The sequence below is a fragment of the Homo sapiens genome, chromosome 5 (assembly GCF_000001405.40).
Source record: "Homo sapiens chromosome 5, GRCh38.p14 Primary Assembly".
NCBI lineage: Eukaryota > Metazoa > Chordata > Mammalia > Primates > Hominidae > Homo > Homo sapiens.
Genome location: NC_000005.10, coordinates 59,875,862 through 59,903,644, shown reverse-complemented (window position 1 = coordinate 59,903,644; position 27,783 = coordinate 59,875,862). Strand labels below are relative to the sequence as shown.

The 27,783-nt window shown below is 37.9% G+C and overlaps 1 protein-coding gene across 17 annotated transcripts in view; it reads left to right on the top strand.

The window, feature by feature from the left end:
* The window catches only part of PDE4D (phosphodiesterase 4D), a 1,553,091-nt gene that overhangs the window by 618,484 nt on the left and 906,824 nt on the right, over positions 1-27,783 (top strand). Inside the window, exon 1 of one of the 17 annotated variants that reach the window (NM_001104631.2) lies at positions 9,919-10,477. The exons of the other annotated variants lie outside the window; for them this stretch is intronic. Coding sequence (NP_001098101.1) covers positions 10,023-10,477 — 455 coding nt within the window. The 5' untranslated portion in view covers positions 9,919-10,022. Of the gene's footprint in view, positions 1-9,918; positions 10,478-27,783 lie in introns of those variants that run through there. 17 annotated transcript variants of the gene reach the window in all.

Sequence of the window (27,783 nt, the reverse complement as noted above, 5' to 3'; positions counted from 1 at the left end):
ACCAGCTAAAATAATGCCTGGTTCATAGTAAACCCAATAAGTAGTAGTTGTCAATTTATTAGGTTGGTGCAAAAGTAATTGCAGTTTTTTTTCTATTACTTTCAATCACAAAAATCGCAATTACCTTTACAACAAGCTAATAGGTATCCTGCCTGCTCTGTCTTATCCCTTTCACCCTTTAGAGCAGCTAAACATTAGACGAGTGCCTCATCCAGAGATTTATTGCAATATTTTATACATCAGAACAGTTTGAAGAACCTGAGATAATATTGAGAAGATAGAGAATTTTTCTCTGTCACTCCCCATCTTCTATTTTAAACTAGTAATTCTCCTCTCTTGCCTGCAAACCCCGCTTCCTAATCCTTAGGCAACTGTCCTGAGTTCTTGTTAGTTATTACTAATTCCTGCTGTGATGTTCGTTGATAGCTACAATGTTAGATGATAAGGAATATTATATTTTAAAGTCAGATATTTGAGAAATAAAATTGCATTCTCACTCCAAGAAAAGTTTCTGCATATCCAAAGGATGTGGGGGATAGATATTTAGGAATATATGTGTGCCAGGATTGGGCAACTCGCAGCCAAAGAATGGAACAGGTTTACCTTGGATTTGAGAGCTACACACACCACTTCACAAAAATTTTTATCTTAATTTGGTATTAACTTTATTTAACTATAAAACTTTAAAACTAAACTTTGAGAGGAGGATGAATTTTGTTTTAAAGATGTTTGTAGTTATTTTTAGCTCAGAGTTCTATTTAGGTTCCCCAAATTTTGTGCTACAACAGTTTTAAAAGTCTGCCCAGTTATTTAATCTGGGGAGATTACAAATACAGTGTTGACGACTGGCCTGCAGCTCTCTCTTCTGAAATGAGATATTCAACTCCACATGGCTTACTGCCTCTTCCTATCCCACTTAGTTTCCATCTCTTCTGCTGGTGATGATGTGAGTTCCCTACCCTGTGGGGTTACAATTGCCCTTATGGTTTTTCTTATACAATATTCAGCATTATAACATATGTAGGTTATAGAGCATATAATATATGAACTGCAATATTATCAATATGTTGTATCTACCTGTGGGCTCCTTCCTTCTCTCAGTTACCATATTTTCCTTCACCACTCACTGGGTAACAACCATCTGAAATTTCATGAATTGCATAACCTTTCCATTTTTAATACTTTTAAAAAATCATATATGTATGTATCCTCTAAAATCTTGCTATGTAAGTATGGTCCACAGATCTATGCATGAACATTGCCTGGGAGCTTATTAGAAATACTGAATTTCAGCATTGCCCCAGACCTACTGAACCAAAATAAGTATTTTAACAAGAATTGCTGTTGATTTACAGGCACATTAGTTTAAGAAGCACTACACCAAAATATATTATTTTGTCTTCCTAGGGGTTGTTTTGTTTGCTTGTTTTCTTATTTGTTTCTTGTTTTTGAGTGTTATAAGAATGACATTCTGTTTGTTGTCTTCTGCTACTTGCTTTGTTTGCTCAACAGGGCATTTTAAGATTCATCCAGGTTGCTTTCTGTAGTTGTTCATGGCTTCCTGATGTAACATTTGTGCTAATAGTCCTTCCTGCTAAACACTTAGTTTGTTTCTAGCTTGTGTTATAGTGTATAATCCTGCTATGAACAGTCTGGTGCATGTCTCCGTGTGTGTGTGTGTGTGTGTGTGTGTGTGTGTGTGTGTGTGTGTGTGTGTGTGTTTGCATGTAAGACATTTTCTGTGCTGTGTACCCAGGAGTAGAATTATGAATTGTAGTGTATGTGAATGTTTACCTTTACCAGATAATGGTAAATTGTTTTACCACCAGCAGTATATGAGTTTTCATTGATCTACATCTTTTCAAATACATGGTGTCATCAGGCTTTTTACTTTTTGCTGACCTAGTGGACATAAAATGTCCTCTCACTGTGGTCTTTATTTGCATCTCCCTGATAACTAATGAGATTGGTCAATTTTTTCATCTATTTAATTACCATTCTGTTTTCCTTTTCTGTGACGTGCCTTTTCATGTATTTTGACTATTTTTCCATTTTTCTCTCATTGATTCATAGGAGTACTTATTTTGAAATAGTCCTTTGAGAGTTACATGGGTTGCTATGTTTTCTTCCAATTTATGACTTATCCTCTCACTTTCTTGATCACTCTTGAATAGAAGTTCCAAATGTTAGTATAGTTTATCAGTCTTTCGCTGTAACTGCTTTTGTATCTTTTAAAAAAATCCTTCCTTGCATGAATACTATAATACTATTCTAATAATTTCAGTGGATGGGTGGTTTAATACATAATTAGAGCTCTAGGATGATATTAACTGAAATATTAAACCAGTCTTCAACTGGTATTCTTAAATAACTCATCAATTGGCATTTTACTTTCAAAAGGCCTATGTTTAATTTCTCCCATTTGTCATCCAGGCAAGATCACAAGTTTTGGACTTAGCTTGACGAGGCTCAAATCCAGGCTTTGAAACAGCAAGTATCTGACCTTAGTTAAGTAATTGTCCCCATAAGCTTCAGTTTCCTCATATGTAAAATAGTTGCTGCTACAATTCTTCTATTTTAAGAAATCCGTTAATTACAATAGTTGAGTCAATTTAATGGGAGCTTTTTAAAATGAGAACTATTAGTTTAAATTTACATTTTCTTAAGTGATTTAAAAATGCATACATTTTGCCTTACCAATGCCTACCTACCACATTACTTTTCATCATCTCAAACTATAAGATTAAATCTTTTCTACATTAAGAATCTAAAGATCTTTATACAGTTTTAGCCTTTGGTAGTTGGGCCTAATTTCAAAGTGACAAGCTCTTTCATGATCTCTTTTACATTTTTGAGATCAAGAGTGACATTTCAAGGCATATTGATTCATTTTTATAAAAAATATAATTATCAACCACAAAAAGTTAAACATCTCTAAAAAGTTAGCTAAGAGCTTGTGACAGATGGACATTTAGCAACTGAGTAATCATTCTTCAGGTCTCACAAATCTGTCACTTTGAAAGTTCTATGACATCTTCTGAGGGATTTGGTAATATCTACTCATTTTAACTGTATTGCTGCTGTGTGACTGGCCATGATTTTATAGACATTTCAATGCTAAAGCAATATGCAGCTTCCAATATCATTCTTATGAATATCTTGTTGCTTTTCAATAAGATATGGAAGTGCAGTTTTTCTCCCAGGAAGAAATATTTTTTCACTTATAGTAAATCTTTGTCTCCTACCCATGTTTTAATTTTCTTCCTATATACAAAATAACTTAGCTCTTCAATGAGGTATTAATAATTATAGTATGAACTTTTGAAGACATTTTAAGTAAATAGTGTATATATATATGTGTGTGTGTGTGTGTGTGTGTGTATATATATATATATATTTTTTTTTGATATGGAGTCTTGCTCTATTGCCTGGGTTAGAGTGCAGTGGTGTGATCATGGCTCACTGCAACATTCACCTCCCGGGTTCAAGCAATTTTCCTGCCTCAGGCTCCAGAGAGGCTGGGGTTACAGTTGTGCATTACCACACCTGGCTAGTTTTTGTATTTTTAGTAGAGACAGGGTTTCACCATGTTGGCCAGGCTGGTCTTGAACTCCTGACATCAAGTGATCCGCCCACCTTGGCCTACAAAGTGCTGGGATTACAGGCATGAGCCACTGCACCCAGCCAAATAGTCTTAATTTAGTTAAGTGCAAAGTTCATCAATCTGTAGCTATATGAATGCAAGTCAGAAATCCAAAGTCCTTACCATGACCAGCATGGACTTCCTTGATCTGTCATTTCCAAACAGCTTTCACCTGACTTCATCCCAGGCCACTGGTTGATTTACTATTCCTCAGCCATAACAAGCTGGCTGCCATGTCTTTGCACTTGATTTTCCCACAGCCTGGAGTGCTGGCTTACTCCCTTGCTTCCTTCAGGCCACTCTACCATTACTCTTTTGGATAAGCCTAACTTGCCAGCCAATGCAAAATAGCACTCCCAAACATCACACTCCAACTTCTTAATTTGCTTCAGTTTGCTTCATAACACTGAGCTCCTGTATCTGATATTATTATTTATATTTCTCTAATTAAAAGAAATGGAATAAACACTTAAGCATCTATATATATATATTTACCACTTAAGCATATATATATATATTTACCACTTAAGCATGCATATGTATATATAAATACATATATATATATGTGCTTAGGTGTTTATTCTGTCTTTTTTAATTAGAAGAGGAGGGCCAGAACTTTTCTTTATTGACTTTTTTATCTCCAGAACTTAGGGTTGGCACATATTAAGTGCTCAATAAATATTGGTTAAATGGCTGAATTAATGTTGAGACAATCAGGTGAACAGGTGTTTTCTATGTAGAGTTAAGAGTCCAACGGGCTATTCTCAACATTGGCAGAGGACTAGCACAGTTCTTTAGTCCCCACTGAAAGACTCATCCTGATCATTATAATGTTAAAATGTGATGAAAAAAGCATACTGTTGCAAGAATTAAATAAAATAATGTATGGAAAATGTTTGCCAGAATCAGAATATCAAATGTTAATTGTTCAATAAATGCAATAAAATTAATTCCATCTGAATCAATCCTTACCCCTTCCTTTCCTGTAACAGTGGAAATGTTGGCTTTTTTCTAGTTTGGGCAAATGCTTCCATCTGTGCCCTGCAGTTCAACGCCCCTCAACCCCATCTTCTCAGGGACAACATATTGTTATTTTCCTTCCTTCTGTCATATCTGTTATTTCTCCCTCTCTTTGCATCCTACTCATCAACTTTAAAACCTGCTCCACTCAGAAGGGGGTCCTTTTGATAATGTATACAAAGTCACTACATTGCCTTTAGGGGACACTGAATAAGAAGTAATTCTTTATCAGGCTTCTGCTTATTGCTCAGCTGTCCTTGCAGGTTTATAGACTTATTTGCCATTTTCTGAATGTCCAATGCCCCACAATATCTCTCATCTCTAAGTTATTGTCTGCGCCAGTCTCTGCCCAAAATGCCTTTACTCCTTCATCTCCCCAAGACGTACACACATTCATGGTCACACATATGTATTCACACATACTGAAAATAGCTAATTTCAATGTGTACTTGAGGTCTTGGCCTCAGATTAGATGCCACTCTCCCTTTGGTGAGGACTCACTGAGCTGTAAGGGTTGAATGTTCTTCCAGCAGACACTACATATCCGCATCAGTATATCTCTTCCCCCCATCTTCCCAAATTATAGTTGCTTATTTATTTATTTCCTCTGCAAGACACAAAACTCCTTGAGGATAGTAATTTTTTGTGCATGTTTGTCAATGCAGTATCACAGTCGTCCTGAGAATTAGCACACAGTAGATAAGCAATATTTTTACCTTGAGCTGACAAGTGGAATGGTATCATTAGAAAGTTACAAAATTGATTTTGTGATACTGAGCCTCCAACTAGTTGGAAATTAGTGTGCTGCTAAATTTGCATTAGTGTGCTAGTCAAAGACAAGGATATTCAAGTACAGCATTTCTTAGTTTCATATTAATTGCATATTTCTGTTTATTTCATATTAGACAAAAATTACTGAAAAGCAGCCTAATATACTGCGTTGGAAACAATATGATAGAGACTTTAATACTAGTACTTGTACTGGCAATACTGACAATATTATCTTGTATATGTATAGGTTTTTACAAATTTAAAAGCCTTTCATATATCTCAAGGAAATATCCTAAGAACCTGTTTCTACTCAACATTAAAGACCTAAGTGAAATCTGAGACTTTCAATGCCTTTGGATATGTAATTAGACAGGAGTTTAGCCTTTTGTAACACATATGATGATGAAAATTTCCGATTTTAAGCTGACTGTTGGGCATCAAGATGACCATCTTTACAAATGAAGTAGCACTCATGTGCTCAAGTATACATAGAATGTATGCAAAGTGAAAGTCTCCTTTAAATCTTCCTCCCATTGACTTGAGCAACGAGAACACGTGGACACAGGGAGGGGAACATTACACACTGGGGCCTGTCGGGGGGTGGGATGCTGGAGGAGGGATAGCATTAGGAGAAATACCTAATGTAAATGACAAGTTAATGGGTGCAGCAAACCAACATGGTACATGTATACCTATGTAACAAACCTGCACATTGAGCACATGGACCCCATAACTTAAAGTATAATAAAAAAAGTAAAAAAAAAAATCCTCCTCCCATTGCCAAGATAGAAATGGACCCTTAGTTACTGCCACTTGCCATCTCACTCTGTGTTCTGGATAGAAATGGTGCTTGCTCTCTGCTAGCTGTTAATTGACATCACTTCTGCCAGAACTCTCCATCATTATTGACAAGAATGTTCTCCCTTGTTAATTGCCCAGCAGCACATTGAGTGATTGATTGTATCTTTTGGACAGATTTGAAATGCATTTGCAGAAAAGGGTGGGGGTGGTAATGACATAATGCATGGTAATGACACCAACTAACTGCTTATTTAAGTTTGTTCAGGAAAAAGATACTGATCATTTACCTGATTTTTACTTTTTATATAGATGTGCTAATGGTAAGTAGTGATAGCTTTCCAGGATGTCCCACATTAACCCAATGCTTCACAAAAATCTCTCTCAGACTGTGCCCATAAAACTCCAAAATCTATGGTCAACTAGTGGGAAAAAGAATGGATAATTTATTTAACATATAAGCAGGGAAAACCAATGGGTAGATGGAATATTTTACATTTTTGTTGTTTTAATTAAAAGTAGGAAATACCTAGATTAATGAGAAGAGTTTTTAAATGGAAGGCTGGGAGTGCTCAATATTCAGCAGTATAAGATTTTCTTTTAGCATAGAGGCAACTAGAGTAATACATAAAGTGCATATTTTCATGAGAACTTTGCTTATAAGCTGGACTTCCCTAGAAGTATTTGAGACACAAGGGCGAGTCAACTAATAGTATCTACAGTGTTTTTGCAACCATTTAATGAGAGAGTAAGTCTGGATCAGTAGTTGCTGATGTATGAAATCACATGAAGAGTTTTTTAAAATGCCGATGCCTTGATCCTCCCCTAGAAATACTGATTTTATTTGTCTAGGCAGGGTAGTGATGATCAAACTTTACACTGAAGCAGCATCTTCTCACAAATTTGGTAAAAGTATAAAGCCTCAAGCCCTATCCTGCTTCATGGAGCCTGGGTCTTTGTGTGCTGGATTAGCTCTCCTGGTGATTCTGATAACATCAAAGTTTGGAATCACTGCTCTAGGTTCAACATCAGACATTTTTTTTCAAGCTCCCCCAGGTGATATTCCCTAGGTACAGCCAAGACTGGGAACTGCTGATTAACATGATATTTAGGATACTTCCCAGCCTGGCAGGAATAATAAAAATTGCTACCTTTATTAAACATTCATTGCATATAAGGCATTGTGCTAAGTATTATTTCATTAAATAATTGCAAAATTCTGTGAAGTAGGTAATATTAGTACTACTTTGCATATGGGAGACAGGGATGGTAAATAATTTAGCTAAAGTAACATGGGTAGGAAGTGGTAGATTGGAACTCAAGCTGTAACCTCAAAGATCACACAAGAAACTATTACTATCAATAACATTTTGGAATTATAAGTTAAATTAAAAACTCTACAAGTTGGAAACATATTAAATGATTTTCTTACATTTTAAAATGTTCCTGACTTGCAATTACATAGTAAAAACAAAACAAAGAATTTTTAAAAATCAGTGGGAAATATATAAAAGATAAAGTTTTCATGAGTAAAAAGGAAGGAGCAAATTGGTGGTGAAAATCAGGTTGGATTTGAATTATTCCAATTTAATCTGGAAAAAAATTATAAGTCACTTGTACTGTTAGTGTATGAGAAATTAGAATAAGAGTTTCGGATAGAGGTATTTTGCCACAGTTATATTGAGGCGAAAGGTGGCAAGCATTTCAGGGGAAAGAAGAAATTTGTGTACTTCTTTAAAATGGTTTTGGATGTTAATAATGCAATGAATTAAAAGAAAAAGGCAGTCTATACTGCAGAACACTTCCATTTCTCTCCTTTTGTGTTTGGGAAAATACTGGCTTAGTGCCCTCCTAGGCATGGTAAATACTTTGACCACTGCCACCAGTCACACTTGTGTCTGCAAAAGGGGCAAAAAGAGTGCCTTTGTAAAGTATGGTTTAATCCTACACAGTGGAGAGTGGTGCTTAGGAGATTGCCTTGTTTCTCTTAAGACACAACCTTTCTCAGATTTTGTGTATAGTCCACATATGAGCAGAGGGCTCATATTAAACTGATGGAGGAAAGGTATATTTCCAACCATAAATAAATAAATAGCATGAAGAGATGATGAAGGCCTTCTCCTGCCACTTGCACATTTCGTGGACTGTTCTTGCTGATAAACAAAGTGAGCACTTATTTTCATTGGCATTATTTTCCCAGTGGCATCTAGACTGTGTGGAGAGTGTTGAATTTTCAGCAGTCTAGAGAGTTTGAGACATGGTTCCTGATTCTGGTACTCTAGCATCCATTACATGATATGCTTGAAATGTACATATGAAAATATGTTAAGACTGAGTGTGTGGGAAGAATAGAATAATTACACAGCCAACAAGTTGTTGTGAGTCCTAAATATATTATCGTTCAAATAATGGATGGTACGTGGTAACTTCCACAAAGAAAAATTCTAGAATTATTTTAACAGTAAGCAAATTGCATTTCATCTTTAAGTAATATGGTCAAATAAAAAAGGTACAGGGAAAAAAGTGTCTATATATTGCCCTGAAATCCTCTTGGCTTCTTTAAAAAACATTTGACACTGCAGGAAAATGCTAATTAAAGGAAGACAAAAGTTGAATTTGGATTCTAGTGCCTCATAGGACTCTAATTTCTGTGAATATTGATACAACATGTTTTTAAAACACTTTAGTAATAGAGCTGTGTTCTGCTGGAAGTGGCAGAAAGGCAAATTGCAGGCAGGCACTGAAGATAGAGACTACCGAAGATAATCAGAGGTTTGTAATTGAAAAGGTGCCTTAACCTTAACTCTGGCCAGCGGGCTCAGCCATGGCTCTGCAACTAAGGACGACTCGCCTTGATTTCCAGCGAGGACCACTCCCGAGGCCAAGTTGGAGGAAGATCTTCAAGAGGAAACATTGGGCATTCTCCCTGCTGTGGGAAAGAGCCACACAATGTTTTATCCTATGTCAGGGAAAGAGACTGAATTAATCTTACTATTGGATCTTCACCCAGATCCAATTTTTCAGCGACGCGCATAGACAATATTCCAGGCAACTTTGCCTGGTCACATTCCTTATCTTTGGAAGCACCAGCATGGGGCTCATCGTCAACAAGCTCTGAGAACCAGCCAGGAATCGCCAAACTCCATTTCTCTAAGAGCACTGAGGCAAGCGGAGGTGAAGAGGAAGGCTCCGGGGCAGTGGGGAGCAGTGTGGAGGAGGGAGGCGCGGGCACGGCGAGGGGAAGGATCAAGAGGACAGGTCTGACTCCTGACTGGCTGGAGTGGTTTTGGTGAAAGTCACAGCTCGGGCGTGCCAGCCTGGAGCTGTCCAACTTTTCAGCAGCTCCGGGATCAGGGTTCCGGTGCCCTGGAGGCGGCTACCACTGCCGCCGCCGCCGTTGCTGCTGCTTCTGCAGCCCGAGTTGCTGACAATCCCTGCTCTCGCCGCCGGCGCCCAAAGGAAGGGAAGAAGAAAGGGAGGAAGAAGGACCAACCTCTGGCGAAACCGGGCACCGCGCACCCTAGTCTTGGTGACTTGGGGAGCCCGGGAGCGTGTCTCTGCCATAGCCTCGGTGGAAGGAGCCCTGCCGCGTTCTGTGACCCCTCCCGCTGGCAGGGCCCCCTCTCGGTAGCCCTGAGGCTCTGGCGCCTTCAAGTGAGAAGCTAAGCACCAGCCTCTGCTGGGCTGCAGAAGCGGCGGCGGCGGCAGCAGCAGCAGCAGCATCAGGAAGGCGCTCGGGCCAGCGCGGTGAACCCGGGCTGGGCAGCAGGTCGCGGAGCCGCGAGCCAGGATGGAGGCAGAGGGCAGCAGCGCGCCGGCCCGGGCGGGCAGCGGAGAGGGCAGCGACAGCGCCGGCGGGGCCACGCTCAAAGCCCCCAAGCATCTCTGGAGGCACGAGCAGCACCACCAGTACCCGCTCCGGCAGCCCCAGTTCCGCCTCCTGCATCCCCATCACCACCTGCCCCCGCCGCCGCCACCCTCGCCCCAGCCCCAGCCCCAGTGTCCGCTACAGCCGCCGCCGCCGCCCCCCCTGCCGCCGCCCCCGCCGCCGCCCGGGGCTGCCCGCGGCCGCTACGCCTCGAGCGGGGCCACCGGCCGCGTCCGGCATCGCGGCTACTCGGACACCGAGCGCTACCTGTACTGTCGCGCCATGGACCGCACCTCCTACGCGGTGGAGACCGGCCACCGGCCCGGCCTGAAGAAATCCAGGATGTCCTGGCCCTCCTCGTTCCAGGGACTCAGGCGGTGAGTGGAGAGCGCCCCCTCCCCCATTCAGGCAAAGGGTCACCTCCCCTTTTCTCAAATACTCCATCTAAGTCGGCTTATCACCACCAATTCTAGACCCAGGGTAAAATGCTAGTCTGGAAATTGGGGGAGGACAAACAGGGGTGTGCCTATCCTTTATTGAGAGTATGCTATTCAGGTGTGTGTAAGAGACCCCCCAAAAGTACTGCATAAATGTTAACTGGGGCCGTGTGTGTGTGTGTGTGTGTGTGTGTGTGTGTGTGTGTGTGTGGTGCGCGCGCTTCCCAGTTATCTGTGCCACGCACCAGCCCTCTCCCCACCCACTTCCATACCACCCTGGCTAGTGAGACTAAACAGGCAAAATCAGTTTGCTCTGGGTGGAGAAGAAGAGAAGGTGAAGGTTTTGCGGGATTTGACCAGCGAAAGCACCCAGCATCTGTCCACTCACCCTATTGGGAAGAGGGTCGGTGGGGCTGCTCTGACTGGGGAGGAGGGGGGAGTGAGAAAGCCTGGTCCCAGGATTGCAGCTAAAAGCCTAAGAACAACTCGCATTTCTCTTCGTCAGGTGGAGAAGTAAATTGAATAGCAAAAGGGGAGAACACGTGGGTGACTTGGAGAGTTTGGAGCAAAATGTTCAGCAATCCTTGAGAGAGACAAGGGGGTGAGGGAGGGAGAAGGAGCGAGGACGCTGTGGGAGTTACACTGTGTCGGTGTGTGCGAGCTTGTGTGTAGGGAGACCGTGTGTGTATCAGTCGTCCCTGCAAAATCCCAGGAAGAAAGCGCCTTGTTTTAGCAGCAGGCAAGACGTAGAGATTTGATTATAGTGATTTCCCCTTAACGTAAGTGCTCCGGAAGACAGGGCAGGGAAGCCGCCTATCAACCGGGAGTTTTAGTAGAAGTTGACCGCTGCTTCTCCAAGGAAATGAGTAAAGGACCAATTACAGCCATTCTGAGGAGTCAGCTCCAGATTCTTAACTCAGGCGTGGAGGTGGATGTGGGGCCCACGTTTGGTCCCTTTCCTGATAACCCAGGGACAGCTCCTTTCTTCCCTGTCCCAGGCCTTCCACGCCGTGAATCCCCTCCCCCACACAGGCACAGGAAAAAGATTTCAGGAGCTGCTGATCCTTGGCACATCTAATAGTAAAGTAGAGGGGTCGTCATCTAACCTTAGATGTGGACAGGCATCGATGTACTGCACCTCCAAGCCACAAGTCTGAACAATGGGCAGTTATAAATTGTAAATCAGGTCTGGGTGTGGAAACAGGAAAATCTAGGGCTGGGATTGTTTGTCCAACTCTGATTGACAGTAGGTTGGACTGATCAGAAAATCATAATGGTGTTCAAATGTGTGTTTGAGTTTTGTGTGTGTGTGTGTGTGTGAGCATGTCTCTCTGTTGTATACACTATGTACAAGGGAATCCAGCCAAACTATCATAACCCTGATGTGTACACATCATTTCAGCTTGCATATATGCTCTTAGCCCTTTGCCTGGCTCACACCCTTAGGTACCTTGTTGGAGATGTTCTTGTACCTGTTGGATGGGAAGAATAAGAATTGTAATTAATAACCTCAATTCAGATCAAAGACTGCAGACTTCCATAAATTAATATAAAAGTTTCATTTTTCAGCCAAGACTGCTAAGACCCTTTGTTTGAAGAGGTGGATGTCCTTCTCTCTCCCCTTTGGTTGAGCACGACACTATGTAGGACCCCAATGATAGAATGAAGGCAAGCCTGATACTTTGTATATTTGACCTATTAATAGAAAAATACCGTGTGATGATGAGCCCTTAATAAACATTAAATAAGAACAAGAGTTCTAGCTTGATCTGTGGGCTGATTGATTTTGTAGAGTTTCTTAATTGACTTCATTTTTTAATAAAATAGAATATGCCTGAGAGAGTGGAAGAAAGAAAAATAAGCTAATTGGAATAGAGGTATTGCATCATTGATTTGAATTTATTTTTTGCTATGCTTTCTACATTGATTAATTGTTCTATTTGAAATTTTTAGTTGAATGGTTCACAGGCAAACTAAGATGTATAATATTTATATGTAGCTGCCACTGTGGCTCACCTGATATATCATTGTCATTCTATTTAAGGATCCTTAGACTTAAAATTCTTTACAATACTTGCATATTCCCCACATGCTCACACATTGCATGTCATGTTTTTCCTTAATAGAGTTGCTTTTGCAAATAAATACATCTTTAAGGAGGACATGGATATTAGTTTCATTCTTTAAAGAGAACAGCAACAATACTTTTTTATTTTAAAGAGAACAGCAACAATGCTTTTAAATTATCAAAGAAATTTTACATTTATTAACTTATTTGAATCCTACAACAACACTGAGATGAGATGGTATTATCTCTATTTGATAGACAAGAATGCTGAGCCCCAGAAGATGCGAGCAATTTGTTCAGTATCACATAGACTGTGAGTGCTAGAGCTAAGACTGAAACCCAAGTCTCCTGCCTCATCAAAGGTGGTGAGCCCACCTTAAATAAATGTGTGCAGAACCTGGGCCTGTTGACAGCATCAAGAAATACATGAAACCAACGTGAAGTTTATATCGACTGATACTACAGGACATAAAGCCTGAATGAACTAAAAATGAGATATGGTTTAAATCCATTTTTAACAAAATGACATATATCACAAGCTTCTAGAAGTAATTAGAGATTTTAACTTTAGAAACTCTGGGCAGTATAAACTGGTGTTAATGATCACAACAGAGGCAAATCAGTGTATTTGTTGACTTTGTAAAATGCATATAAATACTTATGAAAGAGTGTTCAGATAAATTAAAGCTAGTGAGAACATCTAACGTCTTTTTCAATAATTTTCTAAAAGCAAACAAGAAAAGGTGTGTGTGTGTGTGTGTGTGTGTGTGTGTGTGTGTGTGTGTACGTGCGCACCACCATCTTACCATCATCCAAATGGGGGGTTTAAATAGTCTATCAAGTTAATGTCTCTGAAAAAGCCTCATGGGTGGATGGATGAATGATTCCCTATGGATTATCAAGAAAGGTATATCTTTTATAAAGCTATTTCTAGCATGCACTGTAGCATTTCCAGATATTATCTTGGCTGAAATTTTGAGAATTTGTAACAGTTTGTGAAGCAATGGGAAAGAGGAATCTTGTTTAATGAAAAAATGTATATAAGCAGTAAGGAGACAACCCTTAGATATTTTGTGGTCAATTCTTTTAAGTCCATGGGAAATTTGGATATGTTAAATAAATTTTTTATATAAAGTGTGTCTGTCAAACAAGGTAGATTCATGTCTTAATCTCAACATGCAAGAAATTTCAAACAATAAAATTACCAGAGAAATGAGTCTCTAAGTTACCAAGAGAACAAAATGAAATATGAAAAATGTTTAAAACACTCTTTAAAAATGTACATATCAGATTAATCATTTCAACCAATAGTCTTCAAAATGTGACAACTATTTAACTGAACTGATAAATAATTTTATTGTTTCTTTGACTTTACACAACAAAATATTATTTTCAATAATATAATACACTAAGGTTGAAAATACAAGCAGCATGGATGATTCCTTGATATTATAAAATATTCTGGATTATAGTGATACAAATATCCAGAAGGGGACATTTGATTTAGATACTTTGTTTGATTCATTTATTTTTATCTATTTATATTTATTGTTTTTTTAGAGACTGGGTCTCGCTCTGTCACCCAGGTTGGAGTACAGTGGCACAATCATAGCTCACTGTAGCCTTGAACACATGTGCTCAAGTGATCCTCCTGCCTCAGACTCCCAAAGTGCTGGGATTACTGTCATGAACCACCATGCCTGACTCAATTTAGGTAGAAGGAAAAGAGCTAAAACCTATAATCACACAAAATATAAATTCTGCGCATATTATATTTACTTGACATTAGCTTTTTTTTTTTTTTTTTTTTTAGACAGAGTCTCGCTCTGTCACCCAGGCTGGAGTGTGCAGTGGCACAATCTTGGCTCACTGCAAACTCCACCTCCCAGGTTCAAGGGATTCTCCTGCCTTGGCCTCCCAAGTAGCTGGGACTACGGGCACGAGCCGCCACGCCTGACTAATTTTTTGTATTTTTAGTAGAGATGGAGCTTCACCATGTTGGCCAAGCTGGTCTCAAACTCCTGGCCTCAAGTTATCCACCCGCCTCGGCCTCCCAAAGTGCTGGGATACAGACGTAAGCCACCGTGCCTGGCAACATTAGTTTTTTAAATATGTTAACATCATATATTAAATAAAGAAAACATATTGTAATATTTAAATAATAAAAGAAATTAGGTTTTCATTTTTCTATGCTAGGTTATAAAAGCTATTTCTTTATTGTTTTATTGATTTTTCAGGTTATTAGTGTAATTTTTTCTTCATTAAAGGATGTAACGGTAATCTAGGTTCATGATGTAAAATTTAGATTTCACATTACCAAAATAATTAATTGAAAAATTGGCCGTTCAGATTGTCTACATCAGTGAATTTGAATTTAGGAAACAGTATCTTTAAAAAAAAGCATATTGGAAAACTGACATAAGGTTGACATCTTTAAATTTTAATATGTAAGGACACTAAGGATATTTAAATAGCAAAAAATGCAAGGAAAATGTATATTTTTTACATTTCCTACATATTGTCAACACAGTAACACAGTATTAGACTTTTTAATTTTTTCAAAATTAGTTTGAACCTTTTATTCTTGATTTGCCTCCAATAGAATATTGTCTTGGTAACTTCATTTAATACTTTATCAGCTAGTGTGTTCTAAGCCTTTGATTAATCAGAAAAACATAATGAATCCATCACCTTTTTACATTTTGATTCTAAAATGATGTACCTTCTGTGTTTCATGGAAATGGGAGGTGGTGGGCAGAGGAGGTAGAAGGGAAAGGATAGGAACAAATCCCCAAGCAGGGAATGTTCCTAAGTCCTTGTCTTATTCTAATTGGATCATCTGGGTTCAGTTGCCCACATGTGGAGCAGTAGCATGAAAATAGGTAATTGACCACATCAACAAGACATATTTCTCTAAGATTATGGAATGTCGAGAAGAGAAGGGACTGAGGCTTAAACTAACCTAGTCCACCACTGTCCATCTTTTACATTTGAAGAAACATGTGTCATGAGGGGTTAAATTACTTAACACAACTAGTTTACTGCCCAAACTATAACTACAAACTATATCCTCCATATCTGCTGACAATTACTTTACATTTTACACATTGTGGCCATCTTTTAACCATCAGTAGCCCCAACTTCCAGGTTATAGCCTTGAACCAAAAGTTTGGAAATTACATTTAAAAAACATTTGTGAATAAGTGGAATATTCAAATATTGGCACAAGAGAGATGACTTCAGAAAACAAACATTCTTTCACTTTCAATTTGGATACATTTACACACACACACACACACAAACACACACACACACACACTGATGGCTTGCTCACTGATTTCTATCTCTAAACTTTAATGTGGGTTTGGAGGCATGTCTTGGGAAGAGTTCTTAAAGATCAAATAGAATAATAATCTAAAAAGACTTAGTTCTGTTTATGATTTTGCTAATTATTTAAATGTCTGAAGTCTATCATGGACAAACTTATGTCCCTCTCACAGCTTATTATCCATCTACAGGTTTAAAAATATGCAATATGTGAGTCTATAACTTGAATGCTGCTAGTACTGGCTCATAACAGCAACGTTGCTAAGGGATTACACCAAATAGCACTGTATTATATTTCAAAAGATGTGGCTATTTTTATCCTGAGGAACATTTTATCTACGTTTAAAAATAAGAAAACTGATTTTTCCCGAAGAATAAGCCACTTTACCTTATTGTTTAAAACTTATCAGCTAAATTGGTTGGACCCTATATTCACACATACCACCATTGCCCCAAACCTCACCATACCACTTTGGAGATTGAGAACTCTATAAAATTTGCTTTGTCATCTAAATGAGCATTTATAATTCTTGCTCCGTCTCAACGTGGGGCATCACATCCATCCAGTTGTCTCTGGTCTGTGGCATTCTTAGACTCTTCCTCTCCCCTAACTTTGGATCTCAAAGACCACCAAGATCTTTTGAATCGTCCTCAGAAATAACTCTTGTGTTTTTTCCTTGCCACTTCCCTAGTTCCAGCACTTATCCTCTATTCACTAAACTATCGCAATAGCCTCTAAGTGATCTCTAGCTCCAACCTCTCCTCATTCCTGTTGTTCCTTTTTTTTTTTCACCCCAGGCTACCAGTTTCACCACCATCTTCTAAATCTTAAGGTAATTTCTCTTTGCCTTCAAGATAAAGTCTAAATTTCTTAGTTTGACTCTTCAGAATGTTGGCCCAGTCGGTCTTTCTTGCAGAAAGTCTAACTTTTGTCCCCTTTTGTAAACCCCATGAAATAATCACACTTAAATTCTGGCCGTGGTCTGAGTTCTCTGTGCCTTTTCACACCTCTCTTTCTTGCTGAGGCTGCTTCTTCCTTCTAGATTGCTTTCCCTATGCTCTGCAACACCCCTTCCTTACCTGTTCAGAAAACTCATGAATATCTTTTCAAACTCAGTTCATGTTACCCTCTTGCGGATATTCCTACACAAAGAAGGAATATTTTTCTTTTCTTTATTTTTTTATTTTTTTATTTTTATTTTTTATTTTTATTTATCGTCCGAGCTGGAGTGGAATGGCGCGATCTCGGCTCACTGCAAGCTCCGCCTACCGGGTTCAAGCGATTCTCCTGCCTCAGCCTCCCGAGTAGCTGGGACTACAGGCGCCTGCCACCATGTCCGGCTAATTTTTCGTATTTTTAGTAGAGACGGGGTTTCACTGTGTTGGCCAGGCTGGTCTGAAACGCTTGACCTCGTCATCCATCTGCCTCGATCTCCCAAAGTGGGAATATTTTTCTTTTCTGGGCTTTCCCATAGCTTTCGTATATTATTTGTACTCTAGCAGTTATCAATTGCAGTTTAATTATTTGTTTTATGTGTTTCCCCCATTAGGTATGTTAGGACCTTGCACAGTGAATGGTTTTATATAGATTTTTAATAAGTGGTGAGCTTTTAAATGTGGAAATAATAATGAAACCTTGTCTTTTTAGTTTGTGCTCTCTCAGACAGGATATATTTGATTTTCTTAATAATCTCTTTGAAACACACAGAGTTAGTGATTATTTTACCCATTTTATAGATGATGGAAGGGAATATTGAATCTCAGAAAAATAGACACATATTCATGTTCAAAGATAGAACTTGGACTTGAGCCAAAAAGGTCTAGTGATCTTTTTTATTGTAATGTAATGAAACAAGAGATACTGTGAGTATAGGTTGGTATGAGGAGAAGCAGCCTATAATTTGAGTTAAGATTATGAAGACAGAGTGAAATTATAATATTATGAAGAGAAATAACAGTTTTGATCTAACTTATGAAAAAAAAACAACATGTAAGAGTGAAAATAACTCTGATGGGATAAAGCCCCCTTTGTAAATTTAGAGAAGTGCCTCTACAGAGTAAATTCTTAACCTTGGGTTATGTGGCTCTACAAGATTCATTACATTTGGAGGTAGGCACACATTTCTTAGAGAATGTTTATCCAATTCTCAATGAGTCTTTTATCCACAAAATTTAAGGCACTGTGTTCTAAAGCTAAGTTATTGACTGCTTCACTAAGGGAAAAATTATGAGAACATAGTATACTAATGGAGTAAGATTATCGTTGGGGTGGCTGAAAGTAAGCAGTTTGAAATGGGATTTTAGAAAAATGCAACACTTCAGACAGATAAGGTCAGAGGCTTATTTAAAAATGACAATCCCCAGTGGGATTTTAGGGGATTACTTGACTTAAAATTTAATTTAAATATAAGGATAGTAAAGAACATTTTGAAAAAATAAAAAGACTGTTTTTCCTTATAAGATAGCAGAACATATCATATAGGCTATTAATTCAAACAGCATGATAATAATTTAGAAATAAACCAATTATTCAACCAACTGGATAAATGGTCAAGAATAAGGCCCATGCATATATTGAAAATTTAGGGTTTAGTAAAGGTAGCAGTCCAAATCAGTGAGAAAAGGATAAATTATTTAATATAGGATAAATTGTTTAATGGTTTATGGAAATAAAAAATGATCATTACTTCATTCATACTATAATAAAGAGCACTGGATAAAAAAGATTAAAAACTCAAGAGAAAAACAGATAAAGGCCATGAACAGAAAATTCAAAAAGGAAGAAAAATGTATGACAAATATACATTTGAAAAGTTTTTCTACCTGACAGACAAAGAAATAAAAACTGAAACAATTTTTCATCTATCATTTTGGAAAAAGATGAAAAATTTAAAAGAATTTGAGATGGTATACAGACATAGCCACTTTCTTATGTACATTTTCAGTGAACAATATATCAGGAAATCAGGAAGTATAAATCAGGAAAACATTGGTGGGTGATCAAATAATATATATCAATATTTTAATGTGCATACTTTTGTCCCATTAATTCTATGTTTAGAAACTTAGCCTAAGAATATAATTGAATAAGTGAGCAAAGAAATACTATATTGCAATATTACATATAATAGTATACATCTGGAAACCACCCAAATATCTTTCAGGACAGAAATTGTAAAATAAATGATGATATATCTGTATTGAGATCTGTATGTATTGAAATTATTGAAATGTTATTTTAAACTCTACAAGTTGTTATGTGGAAAAAGCAATTTAGAGAATAGATGACAGAATATGGTATCATTTACCAGTGTGTTTTCATGCATGCTTATATTTACATATATGAGATTATGTCTATGTACATGTGTGCCTATAGTTATGTATGTAGGTGTATGTGTGGTATGTGTGTGTATATATATATGTGTGTGTGTATTTATATCTATATACATATATATGTAGAGTGAGAGAGAGACAGAGACAGAGACAGTACTACATATATATGTAGAGAGAGAGAGACAAAGACAGAGAGAGAGAATACATATATATTCTGTCTAAGCAGGAAAAACCACCAAACTGTTACAGGTGTGTGAAGAGAGGATATTTTGAGAGGTCTTTGATTTTGTTTTATGTTCTCTTCTCTTACTCAATTTCCTTTAAAATGAGCATGTGTTGTTTTTATAATAAGCAAAAATCATGTATTTTCTCCTTTTGTAAAACAATATTTTCAACTTATTTCGTTTAATATATTTCACTTGTATTTCACTTGTTTCTTACCCCCCCAAAAAAAGCAAAGGATTGCGTTTCATAAAAAAATTTAGTAAAAGATAAACATGAGGACATCAAAGAGAAGAGAAAATGGCATGAAAATAGTATGAACTATGAAAGCAAAAATTCATTTCATTAATTCCTGAGTAATTGCTAGAAACGAGTCACAGACTGGTTCTGATCTTCCTATCAACTAATCCAAGGAAGGGAACACTGTTGCTTTAAGATTCATATATCGGTAAGTTAAAAAATGAGTTGCTTGGTAAAATATATTGCTATTAACTCTGAGAATTAAAAGAAATATTTCTCTGTGGTGTTTTATAAAAAAGATGCTATGTGATATGGTGTGTGCAGTTTCAACATTTTTTCTATACTTCATAAAGTTTGAAATAGATATAAATGTTTCTTATAACTGTGACTGATTCTTATAAAACTACACATTGATGGCCTGTTGTCTAAGTTCCATTCATTGAAAATCTATCAGCACTGGAGCCCCAGTTAGCATTCTTAACAGGGCATTCTCTTTAAGACTGAACACTAAGTGTGCACCATTAAAAGAAGCTGCATTCTTCAACTTGGAAAATTCTTCTAGACTCACTCTCCTGTATCCCACGTTCAGCCTCTTGTTCTCACCTGAATACCCGAATTTGATTTGGATGCTGTATGTGTTCTCTGGTCCTTAAGATTAAAAACTAAGGTCTTATTTTAGTTTCTTGCTCAAATATTGCTTTTTTGACCTGCTCTGTTCCTGTAACTGTAGCCCTCAAGCAAGCCCAACCTAATTCTCAAGTGTGGCTCAGAATTCTGGGACACCAGCCCAAATTGGGTCTTCCTTATTTGTGATAGAATGGAACCAAAGGAATAAGAGAGGCTGGGCATCTTGGCTCACGCCTGTAATCCCAACACTTTGGGAGGCCAAGACGGGCAGATCACTTGAGGCCAGGAATTCAAGATTAGCCTGGCCAACATGGCGAAACCCTGTCTCTACCAAAAAATACAAAATTTATCCAGGCATGGTGACACGTGCCTGTAATCCCAGCTACTCAAGAGGCTGAGACACGAGAATTGCTTGACCCTGGGAGGCAGAGATTGCAGTGAGCCAAGATCGCGCCACTGAACTCCATCATGAGCAACAGAGTGATCCTCTGGTATTTTTTCTTAAAAAAAAAAAAAAAAAGAAGGAAAGGAGAATTCAGTGTTGGTATCCAGCTTTCTGATTTTCTGACATGAACACCCCATTGTCTCGATATTTATAACATATCCACTTCCAGTTGAATGCACCAAGATAATCTAGTTGCAAAATGTAGCCCCATTAAATACATGGATTGACACATTTAAATATAAGCCAGTTAAATGTTAGAAGTTACTTACCAAAAATGAGGTTGATGTTTTAGAATAATTTACTCACAGCCCTTCTCTCTGAAAGCAATTAGAGTAATACATTTTTAGTCTATCGAGATTGTCCAAATTCATGATAACAATATTACCTAGTATGCAGGTGTGCTTCCAGCTCACTTGGAAGCATTTTTAAATCATTAAAACATAAAGTAAAAGTTTGGACTCTTCTATACACACATTTTTATTTTACTACCACTCAATCATTCCCACCACCTGGGTTTTCAGTTTTATTGAGGACCAGTTTCTTGTCTAATGATCAGTAGGCAGGGGTCTCTACTGTCCAGAAATCATGTGGTTACTCATCACGGCAGCTGCTACTACAGACACTGAAGAAAGATCATCCAACATGGATAAATACCCTGTTCTTATCAGATGTTTGAGAAGTAATAGAGTATAATGATGCCCCTCATGTAGAATATGGTTCTAAGAAACCCATACTTATATTAACTCAGAAACTGCCATAAATAGCTGAAATATCCAAATAAATCAACAGACCCACAGTTTGTGAGAAACAGAAGGATGTTCATGGCTTCAATGGGATAGGCCAAACTTTGTGTTGAATTATGTGCTTCTTTATGTCTTGTTTCCTCTGCCTGAAATGCCTTTTCCTCCACACCCATTAGTGTTTTATAACACCTACTCATACTTCAGATCTTGATTCAAGCATCACTTCTTTTGGTGAAGTATTTTCAGATCTCCCAAACCTGTCATAATACCATATAGTGCTCCTTTATATTGTTTATTATATTTTCAATTACATGTTTAATTGTATAATTATTGATAAGGCCAATTTCTTTCACCAAACTATAAACTCCTATGAAAATAATGACTCTGTCAATTTTTCTCACATTCAAACACAGTATTTGTACATTGCTTGAACTGAAAGAATTATTAATAAATAATTGAACTCCAGGGTTACCAATTTTATGAAGTTAGGAATATACTGTTAAAAGTAAGTAGAAAACAACTCCAAATTCAGACAACCTTTACCATGTGCTTTATTTTATTAAAGAGTTAAAAAATAACTATACAATTTATTTTATGTAAAAGACACTTCAGTTTACAAATGCAAATATCACCTCTGGAAATAAACCTAAAGGACAGGAAGTCATTGAAGAAGTGGCACCATGGATTGCCAGGATGATGATGTTGCAGGAGAGTTATATTTAAGGAGACGGCAAATAAAAAAATGATAATAAGGACATTAGATACTAATTTCAATGTTATTTTGTGTTTTGTCTTATGATTATTTTAGTGTTTATGCATTATTTAACATTTATTAATAAATTATAAATACTCTGGCTCAATTCATTCTGTTAGCTTGGTTTAAACATATATAAAATGCCCACAGCTACTCCTGTTATTGGCATCTGGTAGTTCTGCATGACATTAAGACCCAAAAGTAAAAATAAATAAATTTCTTGACTGAGAAAATAATTGCCAATTCAAAATGGTCTACTAACCTTAACATTCATAAGAAGAAGAGTATGTATCATCATCCTGGCAAAATGGCACTTATAATTTCATAAATGCTCCTTTTTAACTTTATGTATTATTTTTATTTTGGGGGTAGTAAGATGTGGAAGCTGTTAGATAGTCATTACTTCTGTTGACATGGAATATTTTATAAACATGAAATATTTCACAAAAAATAAAAAACCAGTAATAACAGGTCACATACACACTCAATAATCTCACTATAGCAATATTTCAGAAAAAAATGTATTTAGGGAAAACAATTTATGTCTGTTTGTTTTTAGTGGCAGTCATGACATGAGGACCCCAGACTCAAGTGCATTGCCATTTACTCCCTGGTAGAATGTGATTTCATTTCCAATGAGCTCAAACATAATGATTATATGTCTTACTAATTATACAAAACATGGTGAAGAGGTAGTGTGCTTTGTGATGTCACATATCAAAAATGCTTTCTTTTAAACATTTCTATCTCCTTAGCTAGGTTTAAGAGATAACAAGATGGGCCACTGAAGTAACTTTGTCAAGCATGTTCAATGTAATATTTCCCCAGAGATTGTTTTAACTGATTCGACCAAATTAGATTATTGACTTGACAATAATGAACAAGATACCCCTTTGAATTTTTGTCACTACATCTTTTTGTAACTCATGAAAAATTTCAGGCCAGGCACAGTGGCTCACACCTGTAATCGCCGTACTTTAGGAGGCCGAGGCGGGATTATTACTTGAGCTCAGGATCTCCAGACCAGCCTGGACAACAGACCAAAACCCTGTCTCTACAAAAAATACAATAATTAGCTGGGTGTGGTGGCGTGCACCTCTGATTGGTCCCACCTACTCAGGAGGCTGGGGTAGGAGGATCGCTTGAGCCCAGGGGTTCAAGGTTACAGTGAGCTATGCTCCTGCTGTGCTGCGCAATCCAGCCTGGGCAAAAGAGTGAGACCTGTCTCAAAGAAAAAAAAAATCAGAAATGTTTGAACCCATAAAGTAGATAATGAGGACATAGTGGGAGTATGTAGAAAAGCAATAACAGGCCAGGAGCAGTGGCTCACGCTTGCAATGCCAGCACTTTGGGAGGCCAAAGCTGGTGGATCACAAGGTTAGGAGTTTGAGACCAGCCTGACCAACATGGTGAAACCCTGTCTCTACTAAAAATACAAAAATTAGCTGGACGTGGTGGTGTGCACCTGTAATCCCAGCTACTCAGGAGACTGAGGCAGGAGAATCGCTTAAACCCGGGGAGCGGAGGTTGCAGTGGGCAGAGATTGCGCCACTGCACTCCAGCCTGGGTGACAGAGCGAGACTTTCGTCTCAAAAAACAACAAAAAAACCCAAAAACAATAACATATAGCAGTGTTGGCCCTCAAGCAGTCTGGCAGCCTTTTTATTGCTTTGGATGCCGTTTGTGTCTAAGCATTTGCTTTAAATATTTGATGTAGTTAATTAATGAGTATTTTGGATCTTCTATTATACAAATCTGCCTATGAAAAATAAATGCAAACAAATTACAAATTTCAAATGATAGAAGACCAAACGGAAATACAACGATAATGTCCTCAAATGTGCACTAGTAGTTTAACAGAATATAACTGCCATCTGATTATTAAACAGTAGAAATTGTTTAAGTAGATAGTTAAAAACTGTAGTATCTAATGGTTAGTATTTTCCAAGACAGTAGCCTAAGAGAGTAGTTCAATATATACGGAGTTCCGGCTGTGGAGGATGGGGCTGGTAAGGAAAAGCAAGAAGAGGAAATAAGGCTTTGCTAAAGATTCCTTAACTTCCCTATAAGATGTTACAGAGGCACTGATTGGTTTTAAGCAGGGAAATTATGTGGATAGTTTTGAATTTTTTAAAACTTACTTTGGTAGGGCCGGGCGCGGTGGCTCACGCCTGTAATCCCAGCACTTTGGGAGGCCGAGGAGAGCGGATCACGAGGTCAGGAGATCGAGACCATCCTGGCTAACATGGTGAAACCCCGTCTCTACTAAAAACACACACAAAATTAGCCGGGCGTGGTGGCAGGCACCTGTAATCCCAGCTATTTGGGAGGCTGAGGCAGGAGAATGGCGTGAACCCAGGAGGCGGAGCTTGCAGTGAGCCGAGATCGCGTCACTGCATTCCAGCCTGGGCGACAGAGCGAGACTCTGTCTCAAAAAAAAAAAAAAAAAAAAAAAAAAAAACTTACTTCGGTAGATATGTAGACCATGGAGTGGGAAGAAATTAAAGGTGTGATTTAGGTGTTTATTGCAGTAAACCAGATGAGAAATAAATGGTGATAGTCTGAAACTGATGCTGTGGCAGTAAAGGATGGACATGGCAGTAAAGAGATGAATTTAAGAGAGGTTTTTTTTAAAAGTGGAAATGATAGATCCTGTCGACTGACTGACTTAATGCTATTAGATAAAATAATTTTTAAATTACATGTATTTCCAAAAAGTACAATTAATGAATCCATGGCCAGGCATGGTTGCTCATACCTGTAATCTCAGCACTTTGGGAGGCCGAGGTGGGCGAATTGCTTGAGCCCAGGAGTTCAAGACTAGCCTGGGCAATATAGCAACATCCCACCTGTATTTGAAAAAATAGTAAGTAAGTAAATAAATAAAAATCCATAAGTATTTGGACACCTAAGGTAAATTTAAAATCTTGCAGTTTTGTTTTCCTTTGTTCTTTGTAATTTTTAGCTTGTTTGAGTGGGGGAAAGTTTGAAATATTGGGTAAGGCAAACATTTGAAAACGCTCATCTGCAGAGGAAATTTGCAGTGTTGTGGATAGATCACTTGTGTCAATATGTGAAGCATAACAAATGCTTTTTGATTGTGAAAGCATAGGTAGATATATTGCATTTCAGGTCACCACTAATTAATTGCATTAATTTAGTTAAATTGGTTTTCTCAACTCATCTGAAAAAGATGAAAACTAACACTTCAAACTACTTCCTCTTGGTAACATCATAAAGACAAATGAACTTTCTTTTTCAGTCATTTCCCTCCTTCCCCTGTTCTGCCCTCTCTCTCTAACTAGGAAGCTACTACACCAGCCTTTCCAGCTTTGGTTTTCTAATCTTAATTATTTCTGTACCCATCTATCACTGGAAATTCTTCAAACACTGATGTGTGGATGTTTGTGTGTCGGGGGTTGAGGGGTGAGTTTGGGGAGTGGTGCTGTGTGTTATTGCAAAATTATCCTTTTTTTGCTTTATCTTTAAAACCTTTTGGAAACTTGTCTAAACTTTTCTTTCTCTTTTTTTTGGCAGAATCTTGCTTTGTCACTCAGGCTGGAGTGCAGTGGCGCGATCTTGGCTCACTGCAACCTCCTTGTCCCGGGCTTAGCTGATCCTCCCACCTCAGCCTCCCAAGTAGCTAGGACCAGAGTTGTGTGCCACCAATGCCCAGCTAATTTTTGTATTTTTTTGTGGAGATGAAGTTTCCGGAGATGAGGTTTCACGTGTTGCCCAGGCTGCTCTTGAACTCCTGGGCTCAAGCTCCGCCTCCCAAAGTGCTGGGATTACAGGAGTGACCCACCATGCCCTGCAAACTTATCTAAGCTTTTTTTTTGTTCTTCTTCTTTTTTTTTTTTTTTTTTTTTAGGTTCTGGCATACATGTGCTGAATGTGTAGGTTTGTTACATAGATATACATGTGCCATGGTGGATTGCTGCACTTATGAACATGTATGTTTATTGTTTAAGCTTTTTTATCCTTTTTATCAATTGTATGTTTTTAAAAATCTCTGCCATGTGCTTTTGCCTCTGGCTAATTCTATCTGCATAGACACCATAATAATCTGTTAATCACACTTAACAAGCCTTTGCATTTGATATACCTCTTACAAACAACCAAACGAACATGCAGGCAAAACAAAACAGCAACAACAATAAACACTTCATAGTCTTTCTTTTGCTTGTTTCTCTAGGATGACTATTCTTAAGACCCACACCTGACAAGAATAATTCTTTAATTTTTCATTTTCTTAGAATCAAGGTATTGTGTTTTCATGTAGAGTTGTAAATATGGTATAAGCAAAGATACTTGCTCTCAAACCAGGATTTTATATATATTTTCATATTTTGTGGTTCTATGTATGCATTTTTGGCTCTAAATATTTGTTTTCATAATACCATTAATGTGTAGGACAATTACTATGTATTTTTGTTGTTGTTGTCCTATCCTTTTCCTTTCCCTTCATCTTAGTATTAGGATAAGTATGCAACAGTAATTTTCCCTTTCTATGAGATAAAAACTTCTACATCTTCCTAAGATAATATTACTGAGATAGCCATTTATAGATCATTATTTAAAAAGACTTTTTCATAGTGCATTGACATACACTATCCCAATTGTTCCTCATATAGAAGAGTTTTAAGTTGAAGAGAAACATAATCAATGTCCTCTAGAAAGATTCCTCTTGTAGTAGCATAGAAGGGGAATAAAAATAAAGCAAGACAGAAGGTGGGGGGAGTCCAGTTGAGACATTATGATAAAAATCCAGTATAGCAGATAGAGTCATAACTTAGAGCAGTGGAATAAATAGGTTGATATTATTAGGCTAGGTTTGTCCATTCTTAGCAATCAATTAGAAAAAGGCAGGTGGATAAAGAATAAAGAGATGGAAATCTTAAGGTATGTACTCAGCCAACTGGGTGAGTGATGGTAGCACTTACCAGGTCAGGGGAGGAAAGCTGAAGAGTTTGCTAGTGAACACACAAATAGAAATGTTCAGTAGATTATTGTCATCATCATCATCACCATCACTATCATCATCATTATCATATTTCCTCAGCACTATCATTTATTAATTTGTGAGGCTTGGTACTCCTAGAAGCTTTGCACAGATCACAGTTCACTTAATCTTTTCAACAGACCGTGGAAAATATACCCTTTTCTCTAGATGCAGACCTGGAAAATGGAACTTAGAAAAGTTATAGAATATATATGTTGTTGTTGTCCTTTTAAGCTCAGTGTACATGTGCAGGATATGCAGGTTTGTTACATAGGCAAACATGTGTCATGGGGGCTTGTTGTAGCGATTATTTCATCACCCAGGTATTAAGCCTAGCATCTATTAGTTATTTTTCTTGATCCTCTCCCTCCTCCCACCCTCCAGCCTCCAATAGGCCCCAGTGTGTGCCATTCCCCTCTATGTGCCCATGTGTTCTCATCATTTAGCTCCCACCTCTAAGTGAGAACATGTGGTATCTGTTTTTC